General features: G+C 49.7%; 1 protein-coding gene, 1 long non-coding RNA gene and 1 pseudogene across 2 annotated transcripts in view, besides 15 other annotated features; 2 read left to right on the forward strand and 1 right to left on the reverse strand.

Annotated features, from left to right (window-relative positions):
* Positions 642-1,163, forward strand: RPS16P1 (ribosomal protein S16 pseudogene 1; annotated as a pseudogene).
* On the reverse strand, positions 6,645-20,577 carry SPEN-AS1 (SPEN antisense RNA 1). The gene is made up of 2 exons (NR_024279.1): positions 20,538-20,577; positions 6,645-9,336 (listed from the first exon to the last, which is right to left on the reverse strand). It is a non-coding gene; the product is annotated as an SPEN antisense RNA 1 (long non-coding RNA).
* Positions 7,299-7,528: a silencer, noted in NCBI's record as "silent region_313". NCBI's record gives its function as "represses an Ori minimal core promoter by ATAC-STARR-seq in GM12878 lymphoblastoid cells {active_cell/tissue: GM12878}" and the evidence as "EXISTENCE:reporter gene assay evidence [ECO:0000049][PMID:35858748]".
* Positions 7,299-8,403: a biological region, named in NCBI's record as "NANOG-H3K27ac-H3K4me1 hESC enhancer GRCh37_chr1:16161483-16162468".
* Positions 7,418-8,403: an enhancer, noted in NCBI's record as "NANOG-H3K27ac-H3K4me1 hESC enhancer chr1:16161483-16162468 (GRCh37/hg19 assembly coordinates)". NCBI's record gives its function as "activates a minimal SCP1, AML or CMV promoter by ChIP-STARR-seq in naive and primed H9 embryonic stem cells {active_cell/tissue: H9 hESC(naive and primed)}" and the evidence as "EXISTENCE:reporter gene assay evidence [ECO:0000049][PMID:30033119]".
* Positions 7,969-8,078: an enhancer, noted in NCBI's record as "active region_246". NCBI's record gives its function as "activates an Ori minimal core promoter by ATAC-STARR-seq in GM12878 lymphoblastoid cells {active_cell/tissue: GM12878}" and the evidence as "EXISTENCE:reporter gene assay evidence [ECO:0000049][PMID:35858748]".
* Positions 8,269-8,318: an enhancer, noted in NCBI's record as "active region_247". NCBI's record gives its function as "activates an Ori minimal core promoter by ATAC-STARR-seq in GM12878 lymphoblastoid cells {active_cell/tissue: GM12878}" and the evidence as "EXISTENCE:reporter gene assay evidence [ECO:0000049][PMID:35858748]".
* Positions 8,549-8,598: an enhancer, noted in NCBI's record as "active region_248". NCBI's record gives its function as "activates an Ori minimal core promoter by ATAC-STARR-seq in GM12878 lymphoblastoid cells {active_cell/tissue: GM12878}" and the evidence as "EXISTENCE:reporter gene assay evidence [ECO:0000049][PMID:35858748]".
* Positions 9,684-9,978: a silencer, noted in NCBI's record as "tiled region #11658; HepG2 Repressive DNase matched - State 18:Pol2, and K562 Repressive non-DNase unmatched - State 6:EnhF". NCBI's record gives its function as "represses a minimal TATA promoter and a strong SV40 promoter by Sharpr-MPRA in HepG2 and K562 cells {active_cell/tissue: HepG2 | K562}" and the evidence as "EXISTENCE:reporter gene assay evidence [ECO:0000049][PMID:27701403]".
* Positions 9,999-10,068: a silencer, noted in NCBI's record as "silent region_314". NCBI's record gives its function as "represses an Ori minimal core promoter by ATAC-STARR-seq in GM12878 lymphoblastoid cells {active_cell/tissue: GM12878}" and the evidence as "EXISTENCE:reporter gene assay evidence [ECO:0000049][PMID:35858748]".
* Positions 16,988-17,057: a silencer, noted in NCBI's record as "silent region_315". NCBI's record gives its function as "represses an Ori minimal core promoter by ATAC-STARR-seq in GM12878 lymphoblastoid cells {active_cell/tissue: GM12878}" and the evidence as "EXISTENCE:reporter gene assay evidence [ECO:0000049][PMID:35858748]".
* Positions 17,288-17,387: an enhancer, noted in NCBI's record as "active region_249". NCBI's record gives its function as "activates an Ori minimal core promoter by ATAC-STARR-seq in GM12878 lymphoblastoid cells {active_cell/tissue: GM12878}" and the evidence as "EXISTENCE:reporter gene assay evidence [ECO:0000049][PMID:35858748]".
* Positions 19,267-19,779: an enhancer, noted in NCBI's record as "H3K27ac hESC enhancer chr1:16173332-16173844 (GRCh37/hg19 assembly coordinates)". NCBI's record gives its function as "activates a minimal SCP1, AML or CMV promoter by ChIP-STARR-seq in naive H9 embryonic stem cells {active_cell/tissue: H9 hESC(naive)}" and the evidence as "EXISTENCE:reporter gene assay evidence [ECO:0000049][PMID:30033119]".
* Positions 19,780-20,291: an enhancer, noted in NCBI's record as "H3K27ac hESC enhancer chr1:16173845-16174356 (GRCh37/hg19 assembly coordinates)". NCBI's record gives its function as "activates a minimal SCP1, AML or CMV promoter by ChIP-STARR-seq in naive H9 embryonic stem cells {active_cell/tissue: H9 hESC(naive)}" and the evidence as "EXISTENCE:reporter gene assay evidence [ECO:0000049][PMID:30033119]".
* Positions 19,780-20,443: a biological region, named in NCBI's record as "H3K27ac hESC enhancer GRCh37_chr1:16173845-16174356".
* Positions 19,874-20,443: a silencer, noted in NCBI's record as "silent region_316". NCBI's record gives its function as "represses an Ori minimal core promoter by ATAC-STARR-seq in GM12878 lymphoblastoid cells {active_cell/tissue: GM12878}" and the evidence as "EXISTENCE:reporter gene assay evidence [ECO:0000049][PMID:35858748]".
* Positions 20,137-21,621, forward strand: part of SPEN (spen family transcriptional repressor) — a 92,750-nt gene continuing 91,265 nt past the window's right edge. The window contains exon 1 of the mRNA NM_015001.3: positions 20,137-20,580. Within this exon, the coding sequence (NP_055816.2) occupies positions 20,498-20,580 (83 nt within the window). The 5' untranslated portion in view covers positions 20,137-20,497. The remainder of the gene's footprint in view (positions 20,581-21,621) is intronic.
* Positions 20,624-21,043: a silencer, noted in NCBI's record as "silent region_317". NCBI's record gives its function as "represses an Ori minimal core promoter by ATAC-STARR-seq in GM12878 lymphoblastoid cells {active_cell/tissue: GM12878}" and the evidence as "EXISTENCE:reporter gene assay evidence [ECO:0000049][PMID:35858748]".

The following is a 21,621-nucleotide window of genomic DNA, read 5'->3' on the forward strand; positions in this document are numbered from 1 at the left end:
AAAAAATTAGCCAGGCGTGGCGGCACATGCCTGTAATCACAGCTACTTGGGAGGCTGAGACAGGAGAATCGCTTGAACCCGGGAGGTGGAGGTTGCAGTGAGCCATGATGTCGCCCACACTGGGCGACAAGAGTGACACGCCATCTCAAAAAAAAAAAAATTAGCCAGGCAGTAGTAGCACACACCTGTTGTCCCAGCTACTCAGGAGGCTGAGGCACCTGGAAGGCGGAGGTTGCAGTGAGCCGAGATTGCACTACTGCACTCCAGTCTCGGCGACAGAGTGAGACCCTGTTTCAAACAAACAAACAAACAAAAAAAACGGCCAGGCGCGGTGGCTCATGCCTGTAATCCCTGTACTTTGGGAGGCTGAGACAGGCAGATCACGTGAGGTCAGGAGTTCGAGACCAGCCTGGCCAATATGGTGAAACCCCGTCTCTACTAAAAATACAAAAATTAGCTAGGCGTGGTGGTAGATGCCTGTAATCCCAGCTACTTGGGAGTCTGGGGCAGAATAGCTTGAACCTGGGAGGCGGAGGTTGCAGTGAGCCGAGATCGCACCACTGCACTCCAGCCTGGGCGACAGAGTGTGACTCCGTCTCAAACAAAAAAACAAAACAAAACAAACAAAAAAACACACTCACTCTAGTCCACGCCCGCAGCCATGCCGACCAAGGGCCCGCTGCAGTCGGTGCAGGTCTTCGGACGCAAGAAGACAGCCACAGCTGTGGCGCACTGCAAACGCGGCAATGGTCTCATCAAGGTGAACGGGTGGCCCCTGGAGATGATTGAGCTGCGCATGCTACAATACAAGCTGCTGGAGCCAGTTCTGCTTCTCGGCAAGGAGCGGTTTGCTGGTGTGGACATCTGTGTCCGTATGAAGGGTGGTGGTCACGTGGCCCAGATTTATGCTATCCATCAGTCCATCTCCAAAGCCCTGGTGGCCTACTACCAGAAATATGTGGATGAGGCTTCCAAGAAGGAGATCAAAGACATCCTCATCCAGTATGACCAGACCCTGCTGGTAGCTGATCCTCGTTGCCGGGAGTCCAAAAAGTTTGGAGGCCCTGGTGCCCATGCTCGCTACCAGAAATCCTACCGATAAGCCCATCATGACTATCAAAATTCACCTGTATAATAAACAGTTTTTGAGGGATTTTAAAGTTAAAAAACAAAACAAAACAAAAAACACAAAAATTAGCCAGGTGTGGTGGCATGTGCCTGTAATCCTAGTTACCCAGGAGGCTGAAGCAGGAGAATCGCTGGAACCCAGGAGGCAGAGGCTGCAGTGAGCCGAGATCATGCCACTGCACTCCAGCCTGGGTGACAGAGCAAGACTCCATCTGAAAAAAAAAAATCTCTCTCTCTCTCTATATGTATCTCCAGGATATATTTTGGTCATTAAAGCCACCCTCCCCTTCACTTGGATTACTGATATGGCCGATTCATTTGGCTCCTGCTTCTACCCTGGGCCTCTTTTTTTTTTTTTTTTTTTTTTGAGACGGACTTTCGCTCTGTTGCCCAGGCTGGAGTGCAATGGCGCAATCTCGGCTCATCGCAAGCTCTGCCTCCAGGGTTCACCCATTCTCCCACCTCAGCCTCCGGAGTAGCTGGGACTACAGGCCCCCTCCACCACGCCCGGCTAATTTTGTTTTTGTATTTTTAGTAGAGACGGGGTTTCACCCTGTTAGCCAGGAGGGTCTCGATCTCCTGACCTCGTGATCCGCCCACCTCGGCCTCTCAAAGTGTTGGTATTACAGGGCCCAGGGCCTCTTATTTTCAATACTTTGGGCAATCCTTCTAAAACCTGTCATATCATTAAAAGCCATAAAAACCTATTACAGTTTACCAGGTTCTACAGATCTGCCCCACACACTCCTCTGACTCTTTGACATTCATCCTATACCCCCGTCTTGACCATTCTATTTTTTTTGAGACAGGGTCTCACTGTCACCCAGGCTGGAGTGCAGTGGCTCAATCAAGGCTCACTGCAGCCTCGACTCACTTCCCAGGCTCAGGCAATTCTCCCACCCAAGTAGTTGGGACCACAGGTGCACGCCACCATGCCTGGATAACTTTTATATTTTTTGTAGAGACGAGGTTTCACCATGTTCCCAGGTGGGAGTGCAGTGGTGCAATCATAGCTCACTGTAACCTCAAACTCCCAGGCACAAGCAATCCTCCTGCCTCAGCATCCCAAGTAGCTGGGACTAAAGGCGCACAACACCACGCCCAGGTAATTGTAACATGCTGTAGAGACCAGTCTCGCTATGTTGCACAGGTTGACCTGGAACTCCTAGCCTCAAGCAATCTTCTCACCTCTGCCTCCCAAAGTGCTGGGATTACAGGCATGAGCCACCACGCCCAGCTATGACCATCCTATTTCAACCACACTGATTTCCTTCCTCTATTTCATATGTGCCAGTCATGCTTGCTCCTCCCTGAAGGTGTTTTCATTTACGATTCCCTTTGCAGTCTCTTCCCTAGATATCCACGATTTGCTCCCTTAGCTCCTGCAAATCTTCATTCATAAATTATCTCTTTGTTGGGGCGCCATGTCACACACCTGTAATCCTAGCACTTTGGGGAGATGAAGCGGGAAGATAACTTGAGCCAAAGAGTTAGAGGCTGCAGTGAACTAGCATTACACCACTGCATTTCAGTCTGGGTGACGGCGAGACCCTTTCTCTAAAAAAGTACAAATAAAAGTAAAACCATCTCCTTCTTGAGGCCTATCCTAACCACCTCATTTAAAATTGCAAGACTTGCTTCATCTCTATTATCCTTCACTGTATTTTCACTATAGCACTTGCCACTTTTATTATTTAATTTCCTTATTGTCTGTCTCCCTTCTCCTCCACCAGGGGTAAGCTCCATGAGAACAGGGATCTTTGCTTTGTTTTTATTCAGTGATGTACCTAAACACCGGTGACAGGCTCTGGCACATTGTTTGATGCTCAAAAATTGTTAAACAAGTAAATTAAAATCCTGAGTTTTCAGAGTCTTTTTGATATATTGTCTAACTAGGCCACTATACCATGATGCCAACATGATAAATCTACAGGTTTCATATAATCTGCACACTTGTCAGGATAGAATTTTGCTTTGGGGATGACCATTTTGTACTCTGGCAGGACAAACAAATGTTGGATGTCTCAGGGGCTTTGTTTACTTTTATAGATGTGTTTCTATTTTTCTTCTTCTTTTGAGACGGCGTCTCGCTCTGTCGCCCAGGCTGGAGTGCAGTGGCATCATCTTGGTTCACTGCAATCTCCGCCCTCCCTGGTTCAAGCGATTCTCCTGCCTCAGCCTCCGGGACTATAGGCGCGTGCCAGCACGCCTGACTAATTTTTATGTTTTTTAGTAGAGACGGGGTTTCACCATGTTGGTCAGACTGGTCTGGATTTCCTGACTTCGTGATCTGCCCGCCTCGGCCTCCCAAAGTGCCGGGATTACAGGCATGTGCCAGCGTGCCTGGCCATGTTTCTATTTTTCTAAGTATACTGTTGCTGCAAGGATTTGTTCCTTGAACTCCAATACTTCTGAAGTACAGGGAAGCATTTTATAACCAACTCTCTGAACGTTTTGCCTCAAAGGAGAAAAAATTATTACACCGTGTGGGAGTGCTAACTGCAGCCAAAAATATTTTGAAGGACTTCCCATATTACTAAAGTCTCTAAAGAACCTCATTTATCTTTACTAGGAAAAAGTTATTGCTGTTTTAAATTCTCTTCTATTCCAGAATTTGCCTTGAGAAGCTGTTCTTTCCTTGAACAATGGATTAAAAAAAAAAAAAAAAAGAACAAATCCAAAGGCATGGGCAAAAGGGGCCTAGTCCACACCATTTACTTTTTTTTTTTTTTTTTTTTTTGAGACAGAGTCTCGCTCTGTCGCCCAGGCTGGAGTGCAGTGGCACGATCTCGGCTCACTGCAAGCTCCGGCTCCCAGGTTCACGCCATTCTCCTGCCTTAGCCTCCCGAGTAGCTGGGACTACAGGCGCCCACCACCACACCCGGCTAATTTTTTTTTTTAATTTTTAGTAGAGACGGGGTTTCACCGTGTTAGCCAGGATGGTCTCGATCTCTGACCTCGAGATCTGCCTGCCTCGGCCTCCCAAAGTGCTGGGATTACAGGCGTTGAGCCACTGCACCCAGCCCAGCCCACACCATTTCTATACTGCCTTGACTGTCTTAAGAATCTGGGTGTAATCAAAGTTTTGGTTAACATCTACCCTCTTTTAGGGAACACAAATGTGGTACAAATTAATTCAGACACCTCAGTTTTAGAGTAAGAAAGAAAAACTACATGAACAATGAATTGGCAATTCTGGAATTCACTAGTCTGGTCTAGCTTGACAAACACAAATGAGATACAGGACTACATAAACAAAGGCCTTTTCACCTCTAGGGCAGATCATGAAATTGTGGTGATTCAAAATCTGTTTATTTGAACATGGTTCTCTGCATATTTAAAGTTCACTAGTTCCAACAGTGTTTGGGTTTTTTCGGTTTAGGAAGCTGGAAAAAGTCTTAAGGTCGATATGAGGATGGGGGAGGAGGTTAGCTCTGGATTTCTGTTTAACTGTTTTGCAAATGTACGCCATTGGTCATAAGGGAGATGTTAACTGTGCAAACACCACCCACTCTTTTTTTTTTTTTTTTTTTTGAGACAAGAGTTTCGCTCTTCTTGCCCAGACTGGAGTACAATGGCGCGACCTCGGCTTACCGCAACCTCTGCCTCCCAGGGTCAAGAAATTCTCCTGCCTCAGGCTCCGGAGTAGCTGGGATTACAGGCATGCACCACCACGCCTGGCTAATTTTCTATTTTTAGTAGAGACGGGTTTCTCCATGTTGAGGCTGGTCTCCAACTCCTGACCTCAGGTGATCCGCCTGCCTCGGCCTCCCAAAGTGCTGGGATTACAGTCGTGAGCCACCGCGCCCAGCCACCACCCACTCTTTAAGAAAATACAAATCAACGCCATTTTTTGTACAATAAAAGTATGTGCTTTCTGTGTTAAATGTAATGGTTAAAGGTATAAAGCATCTGTTTTGGGCTCTGTCGCCCAGGCTGGAGTGCAGTGGCACGATCTCGGCTCACTGCAAGCACCGCCTCCCGGGGTTCATGCCATTCTCCTGCCTCAGCCTCCCGAGTAGCTGGGACTACAGGCGCCCGCCCCCAAGCCCGGCTAATTTTTGTATTTTTTTTTTTAGTAGAGACAGGGTTTCACCGTGTTAGCCAGGATGGGCTCGATCTCCTGACCTCGTGATCCGCCCGCCTTGGCTTCCCAAAGGGCTGGGATTACAGGCGTGAGCCACTGCGCCTGGCCCAAAGTATGTGTTTTATAAATAAAAATGAACCCCAGGAATTAGGAGTGTTTAAACAGACCCTTCTAGTCTGTTCAAGTGCTGGGCAATCATTCTTCGAATCTAAACTGCCCAGCTAATTAGAGCCATAATAATTTACCTGAGTTATCAGGCTACTGTAACAGATTCCAAATTTCCACTAAAACTAATAGTTTTACACTATTTCATTTTCATTGTGCAGACAAAAAAGAAAAAAAACACAGCATTTAAAAAAAAATTCTGTAAGCTCTCACCGCCAAAAGGAAGGATAGGCCAGGCGCGGTGACTCACGCCTGTAAGCTCAACACTTTGAGAGGATCTCTTGAGCCTAGACGCTCAAGACCAGCCGGGGCAACATGGTGAAACCGTCACTACAAAAGGTTAACTTAGCCCAGCGCCAGGCACGGTGGCTTATGCCTGAAATCCCAGCACTTTGGGAGGTCGAGGCGGACGGATCACTTGGTCAGGAGATGGAGACCATGCTGGCCAACATGGTGAAACCCCATCTCTACTAAAAATACAAAAATTCGCCGGGCGTGCTGAGGCGTGCCTGTAGTCCCAGCTACTCCCCGAGGCGGAAGTTGCAGTGAGCCAAGATCCACTGCACTCAAGCCTGGGTGACAGAGCGAGCCTCCTTCAAAAAAAAAAAAAAAAAAAAAAAAAAAAGCCCAGCGTGGTGATTCGCGCCTATTCTCAGCTATTCAGGAGGCTGAGGTGGGAGGATAACCTGAGTCCAGGGAGGTCGAGGCTGCAGTGAGCTGTGATTTCGTTACTGCAAAAAACAGAGACCTTGTCTTAAAAAAAAAAAAAAAAAAAGGATAGTTGATGTCAAAAGATACGGTATAAAAATTTAAAGCTCTATGCAGTGCTTTTGGTCATAATGAAACTAAATTATTTGGAATCCAAAAGCCTCTTCTCAGATATTTCTTTCATCTGGAAGCCATCAAATCCTGATCGATTCCTTCAACAGATGTTCTTTTACCTTTTCATCCTATCATTATGAGCTTTACCTCCTGTTACTGAAATAACTCCCTATAATTATACATAGTAAGAATATAAAGGGCTGGCTCTTCTATGTACTCACGCTGTGAAGAAAAACTTAAAAAAAATTAAACAAAAAAACCTTGTACGAAAGCAAAGGAAGAAGACAAATTTAGCAGCAGTTCTCTTGAATTTCCTGGCTTTGTTGATTTCGAACCACAAGGTTAACATTAAAACACAAAGACTCACATTTAAATATTTCTTTTGAAATCAGAAAAACAATAGCTCTTTGAAATGACGCTGGAACGCACACAATAGATTCTACTGGGTCAATGTATTATTTATATACTCATCTGAACTTTCAAAAGAAGTTAAATGGGAGATATTCTCAACAGGCAAAAATAAGATATTCCAATCTATTGTTCAAGTTTATGGCTCCGATATAAATAATGGGCTATAAACCCGTATCTGGAAAACAGTTGCGCAGTGCGTGCTTAATGGCCAGCCAATGAAAACCAACGTCTCATTCTACTCCGTCTTTCAGCACGTCAAGGACATCCCACTCCGCCTTTTTTTTTTTTTCTTTTTAAAGAGGCCAACCGCTGGGGACACCTGGTTTTGGCACCTTTATGAGGCCTCCCAGCAGCACAGGAGCTCTAAGGGGCACGCTCTGCAGTTGAGCTATTTGCAGAGCTCCATGATCGCTCAAAGCCGAGCACGCGCACGGGTTTGCTACTGGCACCAGCACAAGGCTTTAGACAGGCACTTCCCACGGCTGAGTTCTAGGCATCCCCTTTTTGAAACGTGTTCTCTCCACCCTGCAAGGGTGGGGTGAGAAATCTCACTTTCGAAGGGCTTGCAAGGAGGAAGAGAGTCGGCGCCTTGCGGATTCCCCGGCCGCGCTTCAAGGTTCACACGCCGCGTGGCAGCTCGGATGCAGCCCGGTTCCGAGGCGGTCGGCGGTCGAGACTGGGGCCTCGAGCCGAGAAGCGAAGAACAAAGCGGCCGCGTTAGCCCGCCGCCCCGAGGGACAGCCCGGGCGCGCCCGCCGCTCCGCCCACACCCCGCCCCTCGGCCGCGCGAAATGGCGGCGGCCGCACCACAAAATGGCAGTCGCTCGGTCGCGGAGAAGCACCTGCTAAATCCCGTGACTCCCTCCCCCTGCCCTGCCCCGCTAGCGCCAACGTCGTTCTCCCCGCCCAGGCGCCCCGGTCTTCCCACGCCGCCCCGCCCAGGGGCAACAGGGTCCGGAGCCCGCCAACAACGCGGCGCCTTTGTGCGGGCGCACGCCACCTTTACTCAGCCACACGGGCCCCTCTCCGGGGGGCTTTTTCTTAAAGGGGCAACCGCTGGAAGAAACGGAGCACCGCCGCCCGGGACGCCCCTCAGGCCCGGGGTTACTACGGTTTCCCCAACTCGCAGCGTTAGCGTCAGGCCACCAAAGTGAAGATGGGTGGTGAAAGGACCACAGAGCCCGATAGAAGAGAAAACCTAGGAAAAATTAGTGAAAGACGCCCCCAACCAATGCTTTGGCGGCCACGCTGAGTCCTAACGTACTGAGCCCACTCGACGGGGCCCGTGCGCACAGGCGGCTCCAAAGGGCGGGTTTCGGCTTTCCTTCCACCTCGCAAAAGTCCAGTGAGCGCTCTAGGTTTCTCATGGCTACCCCCTGCCCTCTCCCCGTGCTGGGGAGTCTCGGGGGCTGAGCAGTGGCAGAGGGAGGAGCGGCTGCCGCGGTCCCTGTGCTTTTTCTCTGGCGTGAGGGTCTCAGTGGCCTTGGGCTCTGCTTGGGCCGTGGCTTGAAGGTTGGAGGTGTCGCGGTGCGCTTGGGTTTTTTCGCTTTCTTTCAAACGCTTGCTTCCTGGCGCTCCCCACCCCCCAGCGTCCCTTTGGCTCCATCTTTCCAGAAACTTCTCTGAGAAACTCAGCAAAAAGCATCCAATTTCGCCACTGCTTCCCCCTCCGCGCATGCGCGAGACGCCAAGCGGAAAGCCTTTGGCGCGCCGGAGTGTGAGAGTGGTGCGTGAGCGCGCGCGCGCTCGCCGTGCGGGGGCGGTTCTCTCTGACAATGAAGGGAAAGAATTCCCCCTCCCCTCAACATTCCGTCCTCGCGCAAGCGCGTCGGAGCCACTTCCTTGGCCTTTGAGGGAAGGGGGAGGGGTCGTCCCGAAGCGCGCTAGTCGTGTTTCCGCGCGCCTGCGCACGGGGCCGTTTTCGTCTCGCTGTGTTGTCCGCGAGTCTTTGCTGTGAAGTGCGTCTGAACAGCTCGCTTGTGCCCGACCTACTTTTTCCTTAAGGCCCACTCGCGGAAACTAGTTTCTTGTGGGGTTATCGATTCTGTACCCCGAGTTTCCTGGAGATTAGTCTCCCCTTTGTGCCCCGGGGATGAGGCTGGACGGCGTCGCGCTGGCTTGTCTTCCACCCCTTCCCGCGCCATGTTTGGAACGGCTGTTGACTGGATCCCGTGTGGAGTGTGATGGAGCCTTCTCGAAACGGGAAAACAGTCCTGGCCGAAGGCTTGGGTGGTGCCTGGGCCGGCTTATATTAGGCACTGCGTAGAATGTTTGCTCACTAAGCCCAAAGAAAGGTGTCTTTTTTTTTTTTTTTTTGAGACGGGAGTCTCTTGTCATCCAGGCTGTAGTGCAGTGGCGCAGTCTCGGCTCACTGCAACCTTCGCCTCCCGGGTTCAAGCGATTCTCCTGCCTCAGCCTCCCATGTAGCTGGGACTACAGGCGCCCGCCAATACGCTCGGGTAATTTTTGTATGTTTAGTAGAGATGGGTTTCACCATGTTGGTCAGGCTGGTCTCGAACTCCTGAGCTCAGGTGATCCGCCCACCTCGGCCTCCCAAAGTGCTGGAATTACAGGCGTGAGCCACCGAGCCCGGCTTTGCCCCCAGCCTGGGAACGGGGTCTTGCTGTGTTGCCCAACTGTTTTGGAAGTCCTGACGTCAAGAGATCCTTCCGCCAGGGCCTTCCAAAGTGCTGAGATTACAGGTGTGAGCCGCCACGCCCGGCCTTTAAAAAAAAAAAAAAAATCAAAATGGTTTTAAAAGGTGTCATTTTCATTGGAACGGGGTGGGGCTCCTAGTGCCCGCCACAGTCCTCCACTCAGGCCGGCGGGGCGGGCCCTGGCCTCGGCCTCGGTGCGTGGGTGCAGAGGGCCTAGGCCGCAGCTGCTTCTCCCTCTGCCGAATTGAGCTGGGCGGTGGTAACCATAGTGGACCGCACTTCCTCTTCGTTCAGTGCCTCCCCTCATTCTTGTCCTTTAGGGGTGTGGTGGAAATTATTACCAGGGTTATGGGTTCTTCAAAATACAAAAAGCCAAACCAAAACGAAAAAAAACCCTCTTGTGTAATGAACTTCCCCCGCGTGCAAAATTCGGGGAACCCGGGCGGCTTGCCTCTGCCTCCCGCCTGCGCGGTCTCCCTAGACGAATTGCCTCCCGCCTAGCCGCCTCCCTAGACGTATTGTCTTGTGACGCACCCCCGAGTCCCTGTAGGTGCAAGGCTTTAAAAAGGGAGCTTTTTCGAGAAGAAAGCACATCGGGGGCTCTTAGAGGCCAGCGTGGACGCCGCAATCGCGGGGTGAGCCGCGCGACGACCCTATGGCTCTCGGAAGGTGCTGACTTGGGGCGGGTGCGCGTGCACCACTGACCGCGCCAGCCCGGGGTCGGGCCGGGGCAGCGCGCTGGGCGGAGCCGCTCCGTGGCCCCTAACAAAGGGCGAGCTCATTGCCCGGTGGGAACTGTGAGTTGGTGTCAGAGTCCTCCTAGGAACTCAGTATATGAAACTTATCTAGAGGGTGTTGAAGTACCAGCAAGCAATAGAATTCTGACAAGGCTGTAATTTGAGGCTTGGAAATGACCAGGTTAACTGTCTCTTGAATTCGTAGAATTTGTTATAGATTCTGTCTTAACATAATTTATGCTTAATAGAGTCTTTAAAATCGGCGTTCCTACGGTAATGATACCACTGACTACTAAATAAGAGGAAGAAAATTTGTGGCGTGTATGTTTTATAATTTGAAATAGGCATATCAAAGTTCTTTTGTGCTGTCTAATAGGATCCTGGAGATGGATTTATTTATTTATTTATTTAGAGACAGAGTCTCTCTGTGTCGTCTAGGCTGGAGTACAGTGGCACGAACAGAACTCACTGTAGCCTCGACCTCCTGGGCTCAATGGATTCGCCCACCTGCAGGCGCACCGCCACACCCGGCTAATTTTTAAATTTTTTGTAGAGACAAGGGTCTTGCCTTGTTGTCCAAGCTGGTCTGGAACTCCTGGGCTCAAGTGATCCTCCCACCTCAGCCTCCCAAAGTGTTGGGGTTACAGGTGTGACCCACTGGTCCAGGCCTGTTTGAATTATTTACTTCAAACTACAGCTAGGTGTCTGAGAGGAGCAGCAGAAGAGCTTCAAACAAATCTGCTGAAAATTTCCATCCATATGTAAAAGCTACTAAACACAATTTATTTGGTATTGTTTTTGAGATTTCATCAAATGCAGTTTGATAGCCTTCTCTGAATTAATCAGAAGTCTTGGCCGGTTTTGGTGGCTCACGCCTGTAATCCCAGCACTTTGGGAGGCTGAGGCAGGGGATCACTTGAGGTCAGGAGTTTGAGACCAGCCTGGCCAACACGGTGAAAACCCGTCTCTGCTAAAAATACAAAATTTAGCCAGGCGTGGTGGCCGGTGCCTGTAATCCCAGCTACTCGGGAGGCTGAGGCACGAGAATTGGTTGAACCCAGGAGGGGGAGGTTGCAGGGAGCCGAGATCGCGACGCTGTACGCCAGACAGGGCGACGGGGGGGAGACTCCGTCAAAAAAAGAAAAAAGAAGTTTTGATTTGCGTTATTTACGTTCTGCTTGTGTCTTGATGTTACAGAAGTTACAATCTCCTAGGCCTGGGTGTTTTGGCTAATGTGATTATCACTTATGGTGAAACAGTTAAGCTTTTTAATAATGGAGATTACCAGTAGGGTCTTAAAAGGTTGAGTGAGGGCCTGGCACCATGGCATTCGCCTGTAGTCCGGTGGTTGGAGGGGGAGGATCCCTTGAGCCCAGGAGTTTGAGGTTGCAGTGAGCTATGATCCTACCCCTGCACTCTAGCAGGAGTGAAAGAATGACACTCTCTCAAAAAGAAAAAAAAAGTTAAATAAAATATCTGAGTTAACATAGAGAGTAATAACATTTTGTTCATGTGGGATTTGTTAATATATATGTAATTTAATGCAGTTAACTATCAACATTTCAGGGGAACCCTTAGCTAAAGTGACCCAGATGCTGACTTCCAAAAGTCATTTATTTTATTTTTTATTGTTTTGAGACGCAGTTTTGCTCTTCTTGCCTAGGCTAGAGTACAATGGTGCAATTTTGGCTCACTGCAATCTCTGCCTCCGAAGTTCAAGCGATTCTCCTGCCTCAGCCTACTGAGTAGCTGGGATTATAGGCATGCACCACTAGGCCTGGCTAATTTTATATTTTTAGTAGAGATGGAGTTTCTCCATGTTGGTCAGGCTGGTCTTGAACTCCCTACCTCAGGTGATCCACCTGCCTTCGCCTCCCAAAGTGCTAGGATTACAGGTGTGGGCCACCGAGAGCGGCCCAAGTCATTTTATTATAACTTTTTAATTTCAGATTATAAAAGCAATACCTGACAGGGCTTGGTGGCTCACTTCTATAATCCCAGCACTTTGGGAGGCTGAGTCTGGAGGATTGCTTGAGACCAGGAGTTTCAGACCAGCCTGGGCAATATGGTCAGACACCATCTCTTTTAAAAAAGACAAAAACTTAGGGGGCCGCACCCAGTGGCTCACGCCTGTAATCCCAGCACTTTGGGAGGCCGAGGCGGGAGGATCACAAGGTCAGGAGATTGAGACCATCCTGGCCAACATGGCGAAACCCCGTCTCTACTAAAAATACAAAAATTAGCTGGGTGTGGTGGTGTGCGCCTGTAGTCCCAGCTACTTAGGAGGCTGAGGCAGGAGAATCCCTTGAACCCAGGAGGCGGAGATTGCAGTGAGCCAAGATTGCACCACTGTACTCCAGCCTGGGTGACAGAGTGAGACCTGGTCTCAAAAAAAAAAAAGCCGGGTGTGGTGGCATGGGCCTGTGGTCCCAGCTACTCAGGAGGCTAAGGCTGGAGGATTGCTTAAGCCCAGGAGGTTGAGGCTGCAGTAAGGTGATCACACCACTGCACTCCAGCCTGGGAAACAGAGCAACCCGATCTCAAAGAATAATAAAATAAAAGTAATACCTGTTAACCAAAGAAAAACTTAGAAAATATAGAGGAATAATTTTTTTTTTGATGGAGTCTTACTCTTTTGCCCAGGCTGGAGTGCAGTAGCTTGATCTCGGCTCACTGCAACCTCTGCCTGCCGGGTTCAAGTGATTCTCCTGCCTTAGCCTCCCAAGTAGCTGTGATCACAGGTGGCCACCACCATGCCCGGCTAATTTTTTTTTTTGTTTGAGATGGAGTCTTACTCTGTTGCCCAGGCTGGAGTGCAGTGGCGCGATCTCGGCTCATGGCAACCTCCACCTCCCAGGTTCAAGCAATTCTCCTGCCTCACCCTCCTGAGTAGCTGAGACTACAGGAACTCGCCACCAAGCCCGGCTAATTTTTTGTATTTTTAGTAGAGACGGGGTTTCACCGTGTTAGCCAGGATGGTCTCTGTCTCCTGACCTCATGATCCGCTCGTCTCGGCCTCCCAAAGTGCTGGGATTACAGGTGTGAGCCACCGTGCCAGGCACTTGTATTCTTTTTTTTTTTCGAGATGGAGTCTTGCTCTGTCACCCAGGCTGGAGTGCAGTGGCATGATCTCAGCTCACTGCAACCTCTGCCTCCCGGGTTCAAGCGATTCTCCTGCCTAAGCCTCCCAAGTAGCTGGGATTAGAGGTACACGCCACCCTGCCCAGATAATTTTTTTTTTTTTTTAGAGACAGAGTCTTGCTCTGTTGCCCAGGCTGCAGTGCAGTGGTGTGATCTTGGCTCACTGCCACCTCTGCCTCCTGGGTTCAAGCAGTTCTCCTGCCTCAGCCGCCCGAGTAGCTGGGATTACAGGTGTGAATCACTGTGCCCGGCCTTAATTTTTGTATTCTTATTAGAGACGGGGTTTCCCCATATTGGCCAGGCTGGTCTCAAACTCTTGACCTTGTGTTCTATCCACCTTGGCCTCCCAAAGTGTTGGGATTACAGGCGTGAGCCACCGCGCCCGGCCCTAATTTTTGTATTTTTAGTAGAGACGGGGTTTCACCATGTTGGCCAGGCTGGTCTCGAACTCCTGACCTCAGGTGATCCACTGGCCTCAGCCTCCCAAAGTACTGTGATTACAGGCATGCGCCATTGCTCCCAGCCAGGAATAAAATTTTTTTAAAAAATTCAAATTCTACCACATAGGCATTAACCATGATTAACATTTGCAAATATCTTTCCAGTCTATTTTCCACTCAATTACACAAATATTGGTAAACTGCATTAGTAATTCTTAGTATTAAGTATATTGCCAGTATTTCCTCACAGGGGGAAAAATGTTACTTTTAGCAACTTTCCAGAAATAAACAATGGTAGAAACTTAAGAACTGATTTAAAAATATATCAGCCAGTATATTCATTTCTGAAAAACTAAAAATAACACGGAATAAATTATTTAGCTTTCTTAGAGGGTTGAACAGTAAAGTACCATATGAAGTGTTTTTTTTTTTTATCGGAGTCCACTCTGTTGCCCAGGCTCACTGCAACTTCTTCCTCCCAGGTTCAAGTGATTCTCCTGCCTAAGACTCCTGAGTAGCTGGGATTACAGGTGCATGCCACCATGCCCAGCTAATTTTTGTATTTTTAGTAGAGACGGGGTTTCACTATATTGGCCAGGCTAGTCTGGAACTCCTGACCTCAGGTGATCCACCTGTCTGGGCCTCCCAGAGTGCTGGGGTTACAGGCGTGAGCCAACCGTGCCTGGCTCTGTTATAAAGTATTAGCTTGCTTAAAGAATGGATCTGCGCTGGGTGCAGTGGCTCACACCTATAACCCCAGCACTTTGGGAGGCCAAGGCTGGCAGATCCCTTGAGTTCGGGAGTTCAAGACCAGCCTGGGCAATATGGAGACGCCTCTACAAAAAAATACCAAAAACAATTAACTGGGCCTGGTGGTGTGCGCCTGTAGACTCTGCTACTAGGTGGGAGGATGGCTTGAGCCTGGGAGGCAGAGGTTGCAGTGAGCTAAGATTGCACCACTATACTCCAGCCTGGGCGACAGAGGGAGACCCTGTCTCAAAAAAAAAAAAAAAAAAAAAAAAAAGAACTAGAGGACTAGCTAGCTAATATTTTCAATTCTTTGGAGTTCTGATAATTTATTTATTTATTTATTTATTTAGAGATGGAGTTTCGCTCGTTGCCCAGGCTGGAGTGCAATGGCGCGATCTTGGCTCACTGCCGAGATCAAACACCCTTTAATAATATTACAGTGGTGTTGCGTTTTATTTTCTGTTATTTTGGGGAAAAAATTTGGTTCTAATAGTACGAGTTTGTTGGTATTGTCAAATTCTCATGTGGTTGGGGCTTTGTTCATTTTATAGCTAGTTAATATTATATTATTTTATTTTATTTTATTTACTTATTTTTTGAGATGCAGTCTCACTGTCGTCCAGGCTGGAATGCACTGGCACGATCTTGGCTCACTGCAACCTCTGCCTCCTGGGTTCAAGCAATTGTCTGTCTCAGTCTCCCGAGTAGCTGGGATTCTAAGCGCCCGCCACCACACCTGGCTAATTTTTTTGTATGTTTAGTAGAGATGGGGTTTCACCATCTTGACCAAGCTGGTCTTGAACTCCTGACCTTGTGATCCACCCGCCTCGGCCTCCCAAAGTGCTAGGATTACAGACATGAGTCACTGTGCCTGGCCAGTTATATGATTTTATATGATGCCTTTTATATATTTTATATGATGCCTTTAAGAAGAAATACGCAGGTGGATCTCCTGTGGTCAGGAGTTCCAGACCAGCCTGGCCAACATGGTGAAATCCTGTGTCTACTAAAAATACAAAAATTAGCTGGGTGTGGTGGTGTGCACCTTAGTCCTAGCTACTAGGGAGTCTGAGGTGGGAGGATCGTGTGGACCTGGGAGGTGGAGGTTGCAGTGAGCTGAGGTGGCACCATTGTACTCCAGCCTGGGCGACAGAGCAAGACTCCATCTCAAAAGAAAAAAAGAAGAATTTTTTTTATATTTTATATATATTTTATTTTATTTTTATATTTTGGGCTGGGCGCAGTGGCTCACACTTGTAATCCCAGCACTTTGGAAGGCCTAGGCAGGTGGATCACTTGAGGTCAGTGTTTCGAGATCAGCCTGGCCAACATGGTGAAAACCCATCTCTACTAAAAACACAAAAATTAGCCGGGCGTGGTAGCAGGCACCTGTAGTCCCAGCTACTCAGGAGGCTGAAGCACAAGAATCTCTTGAACCTGGAAGGTGGAGGTTGTAGTGACCCCAGATCACGCCACTGCACTCCAGCCTGGGCAACAGAGCAAGACTGTCTCAAAATAAAAAAAGAAGAAATGCATATATATATATTTTTTTCTTTTTTTTTTTTTTGAGACAGAGTCTCGCTCTGTTGCCCAGGCTGGAGTGCAGTGGCGTGATCTGGGCTCACTGCAACCTCTGCTTCCCGGGTTCAAGCGATTCTCCTGCCTCAGCCTCCCGAGTAGCTGAGACTACAGGTGCATACCACCATGCCCGGCTAATTTTTTGTATTTTTAGTAGAGATGGGTTTTCACTGTGTTAGCCAGGATGGTCTTGATCTCCTGACCTTATGATCGGCCTCCCAGAGTGCTGGGATTACAGGCGTGAGCCACCAGGCCCGGCCAAAATGCTTATATTTTAAGTGCATGTTTTCTCCTGAAACAGCTTAATTTTAATAGCTTGGGACCTGACTTGTAACCAAATTCTTGTTAAAATCTGATAACTATCCTGTCCTGTTTAAATGGAGATATTATTTTACTACTCTACTGGCTGGGTTAGCATTCAAAGCCTGAGTTGGAGGCTCAGACGCTTTTTCCATCTGAGCTTTCATTACGCATGACTGAACTCTTTGAGCATGTCTAGCATGCTAAATACAGCAGCTCCTCACAGTGTGAAAATAAAACCTGATTAAAAACAAATCTATTTTAATTCCACTTTGCAAATGGCTCTGCTTTAATGTCAGCTTTCTGAATTATCTTTAGTAATCAAATGAGGAAATTCACTTCACCATCCGTTTATCATAGATAAATCACAACCTACTTTTTGATCTTTTTCAGTGAGCATCAATTATTGTTAAATAAAAAAACATCAGAGAATAACAGAGTGGGTTGCCTTTCTATTGAAAACATAACAAAGATACATGCTTTAAAGAAGTTCTGCCCCTGTAAAGCTTTGTAACAGGAATACAAATGGAGAAAAGCTTTTCTGGTGTTTTTTGATGCATTGTCAGCAAAAATGAAAAGCACTGAGAAAATCAAAAACTTGATTTGGGGCTGAGCAAAGGGCATGTACTTATCAGTTTTGTTATTAAGAGCTTTTGCAATAGAAACAGTCAACCAAAAAAAAAAAAAAGCAAGAAACTTCATACTTGACATGCAATCACTATATCCTGATTTGACTACAGGACCTGGCTATAATGGTGAAAATGGTTTTTTTTTTTTTTTTTTTTTTTTGAGACTGAGTCTCACTCTGTCGCTCAGGCTGGAGTGCAGTGGCACGATCTCGGCTCACTGTAACCTCTGCCTCCCGGGTTCAAGTGATTCTCCTGCCTCAGCCTCTCGAGTAGCTGGGATTACAGGTGAGCACCACCACGCCAGGCTAATTTTTGTATTTTTAGTAGAGGCCAGGTTTCACCACGTTGGCCAGGCTGGTCTTGATCCCCTGGCCTTAGGTGATCCGTCCATCTCAGCCTCCCAAAGTGCTGGGATTATAGGCGTGAGCCACCGCACCCGGCTCTTTTTTTTTTTTTTTTAAAATCATGATTTTAACAGAAGCCTCCATTCAAGGCGAGACATGCCTTTTATTTCTCTAATTGCGAGACACTTTTCTGAATCCTCTTGTCAGTTGCACCTTTTAATACAATTGAGGTGACACTGTTCTTCATGGTGACACTGGTCTTTCCCAAGAGGTTTCAGCTAATTCAGTCTATCAGATTTTACATCAGATTTTAAAATTTGCTTCAAACTTGGGTGCTTGTATTCAAATTCATGCTTCATAGAAAAATGCATATCAGTTCAACAGTTGACTAACTGCAGCCACGTTCACAGTACTGAATAGTTCATGAGTTTCGTTAGTAGGGTGTTAGCTTGACTTTCCTTATGTGATAATTGTGACAGAGAAATGGCCAGATGTAAATAGCCAATTTTACTTTTTTTTTTCTTTTTTTAAGAGAGGGGTTTCTCCTATGTTGCTGAGGCTGGAGTGCTGGGGCTTTTCAAGGCACAATCATAGTGCACTACAGCTTGGAACTCCTGGACTCAGATGATGCTTCTGCCTTAGCCTCTCCAGTAGCTGAGACTACAAAGAAACAATTTAGTTATGCATAGGTGACCTGAGATATTAGTGCCATTGGTTTTGGTGACAATATTTTCGAATTCAAATAGTGTCGTTTGTAAGTTAGTTTGTATTTAAGGAGATAATCGATGAGGCCAAGTATTTAAAATTGGCTGGGCTGGTGGTTCATGCCTGTAATACCAGCACTTTGGAAGGCTGAGGTGGGCAGATCACCAGGTCAAGAGATCGAAACCATCCTGGATAGCATGGTGAAACCCCGCCTCTACTAAACGTAAAAAAATTACCTGGGCGTGGTGGTTTGCGCCTGTAGTCCCAGCTACTTGGGAGGCTGAGGCAGGAGAATTGCTTGAACCCGGGAGACGGAGGATGCAGTAAGCAGAGATGGTACCACTTCACTCCAGCCTGGTGACAGAGTGAGACTGCGTCTCCAAAAAAAAAAAAAAAAAAAAAAAAAAAATCTGGCTTGCACCTGAAGCAGCACACCTCTGGTATTTCTGTGTATTTTTATTATAAATAATTTTATTTTTCTCTCGATATAGTTACCTTAATTTTATGGGTTTTCCTTGAATTTCTGTAAATTGGCCTTTATATAAAAGTTCAACTGGCCGGGCATGGTGGCTCACGCCTGTAATCCCAGCACTTTGGGAGGCCAAGGTGGGCAGATCACCTGAGGTCAGGAGTTCAAGACCAGCCTGGCCAACATGGTGAAACCCCGTCTTTACTAAGAATACAAAAAACTAGCCTGGTGTGGTGGTGCGCGCCTGTAATTCCAGCTACTCGGAAGGCTGACGCAGGAGAATCGCTTGAACCTGGGAGGCGGAGGTTGCAGTGAGCTGAGACAGCGCCATTGTGCCCCAGCTTGGCTAACAAGAGTGAAACTTGGTCTCAGGAAAAAAAAAAAAAAAGAGGCTGGGCGTGGTGGCTCAAGCCTGTAATCCCAGCACTTTGGGAGGCTTGAGGCGGGTGGATTACCTGAGGTTGTGAGTTCGAGGCCAGCTTGACCAACACAGAGAAACTGTCTCTACTAAAAATACAAAAATTAGCCGGGCATGGTGGCGCATGCCTGTAATCCCAGCTACTCAGGAGGCTGAAGCAGGAGAATCGCTTGAACCCAGGAGACAGAGGTTGCAGTAAGCCGAGAACACACCATTGCACTCCAGCCTGGGCAACAAAAGCAAAACTCCGTCTCAAAGGAAAAAAAAAAAAAAAGAAAGTTCAACTGTAGGTTTCAAAAGCTCTTAGGCCTGGAAAGGCCAGAGGTCTAATTCCTTTCTCTGTTTAAATATTAAATTATGGTCTGAGGGGAACAATATTGGATTCCTGTCTCATTTCCGTTTTATTCCTTCTATACCACAGCGATCAGCAAGGGTATCTTGCAAACGGTTTCGCAAGATTCTATATAAAAAAGTTGCTTAGGCCAGGTGCAGTGACTCCCGCCTGTACTCCCAGTACTTTAGGAGGCCGAGGCGGGCGGATCACCTGAGGTCAGGAGTTCAAGACCAGCCTGGCCTACATGGTGAAACCCTGTCTCTAATAAAAATACAAAAATTAGCCAGGTGTGGTTGCGGGTGCTTGTAATCCCAGCTACTTGGGAGGCTGAGGCAGGAGAATCGCTTGAGTCTGGGAGGCGGAGATTGCAGTGAGCCGAGACCGTGCCACTGCACTCCAGCAGCCTGGGCAACAGAGCGAGACCCCGTATTAAAAAAAAAAAAGTTGCTTCATGTTACAAGCCAGTGACTCTTGGATGGGATGCGTTTCTGAAGCCGTCGCTGTTCAGCAGAGCGGTGAGAAGGGCAACCTTTTTCTGATCGCTTTCCCAAGCAGGCAGGAATCTAAGTGTCCGGAAACGCCAGGAGCTGGCCGCCAGGTGAGCGGAGGACGAAGGGGTCCTGACTTCTAGGGGACAGGCCTTGGCAGCCGCTTTGACCCGTAGCCCTGTGGAAACCAATTGCATTTCTCTTCATATCTTCCACCAGGCCGGGGCCTGGGGTTGCCGCTGGAGGGGCTAAAGACCGCTCCTGCTTCCTCAGCCGCCCCTTGCCCGGCGCGGGAACCCGACCGAGAGCCCGCCAAGCAGCGGGACTCCACTAGCAGCTGCGCGCCTGCGCACCGGGGCCGAGCGCGCGAGCGTTCCTTCCCCGCCTGTAGTCCCTCACTTCGTCGCCCGGTCCGCGCGCCTGCGCGCCGGCTGGGAGGAACTCAGCTTCTCCGCCTTGGCAGGCGGGAGGACGCGCGCGCGCCCGCGGCGAGGGGGAGGCAGTGCGGCGGCGGGAGTCGGGCCGCGCGCGCCAGTGGGAAGCGTCCGGCTGCCACAGCGCCAGCTCCGTCGTAGTCGCTGCCGCCCGTGTCCCGCTCGCCCCTCCTCCCGCTCCCCCGCCCGCCCCTGCCCGGGCGCATGCGCTGCCGGAGCGCGAGGGTCGGCTTCGGGTGTGTGGTGGCGGCAGAGCTGAGCTGCGAGGCCCGAGAGTCAGAACCTGGGGGAGAGGGATGGTCTCTGCACGGGGGGGAGCCGGAGGAGCCGCCGCCGCTGCCGACGCCACCGCCGCAGCCGCCGCCGCCGCCGCCCCGGCACCCGCCTCCCGGCGCTGACGGTCTCGTACGAAGCCGGCGAGGGGGAGCCAGCAGCGGCGGTCGCCGGCACGCCGCCCAGCATGGTCCGGGAAACCAGGCATCTCTGGGTGGGCAACTTACCCGAGAACGTGCGGGAAGAGAAGATCATCGAGCATTTCAAACGGTGAGTGACACGAGGCCCGCGGCCGCGCTCGCTCCTCGGGCGCCGCTTCCCGCCCCGGCCCGTTGCCGGCCCCTCCCGGAGCGCGGAGCTGGTGAGGAGGACTCCGGCCCGGACCCACGGGCGCTGTGGGACCTCGTCAGCCGCTCGGCCCGCGTCGCGGCGTTGGGCCTCGGGTGTCGGCGGTGCGGGCGGCCAAGCCGCGCCGCCTTCGAAGAGCCCGCGGGGCCCCGGCGGCCGCGTCCGTGACGAGGGAGGTGACCGAGGCTCGGCCTCCACGCAGCCGGCGCCCCGGGGCTGCCCTCGCGTCAGCCCGGGAGTCGGTGGGAGATGCGCTGGGCGGCGGGGTCGCGTCCTTGCGCGCAGTGCCCGGCCCGGAGCAGCCGGGACCCGAGCCCGCCCGACAGCCGGGTCCGGCGCCGCCACTCCAAGCTGCTCTGCGGGCGCTCGGCAATGTCTGACTTCGGGAGGGTTCCGTGCGAAGGGAAAGGCGGTGCGAAAACAGAAGTCGCAGTAGGTACTGTGGTCGCGTCGCGGACCCGGAGAGACCATCTAGGACCTCTCCGGAGGATTTGCAGCCTTGAAACTCACTGGGAATGGCAAACGTTTCTCGTTTTTGCGGGGCTGGGTGGAGAGTGGTGTGAAATAAGTTGGTGCGCCCGTTTGGGCTTCCTCGTCCCCGGCGGAGGAGACCGCGTCTGACAGGAGGTTGCTAGCCCCGGCGCCCGTAGCCTCGGGTCGCACTCCCAGGCCGCCCTAAGACCCTGGTGCCCCCCACCCCTGAATTCCCGAATCAAACGGTAAAACATTCCAAACCTTTTACGATGAGAAGATGTAGCTTAAAAAAAAAACCTCCCCTGAATATTTTTGTGAATTATAAGAATAAATGTTGTCGTTGATACATCTTATTGAGTAGCGTGTAGTGCGTTTTCTTTGTGAAATGCCTGTGTACCGTAACAGATAGGCCTCCGCATAAAACACTTATTAAAATGACGATTGGCTTGGACTTGGTGCAGATTCAGAGGGACCATAGCAAATCTGTGG

The sequence above is a fragment of the Homo sapiens genome, chromosome 1 (genome assembly GCF_000001405.40).
Source record: "Homo sapiens chromosome 1, GRCh38.p14 Primary Assembly".
Lineage (NCBI taxonomy): Eukaryota > Metazoa > Chordata > Mammalia > Primates > Hominidae > Homo > Homo sapiens.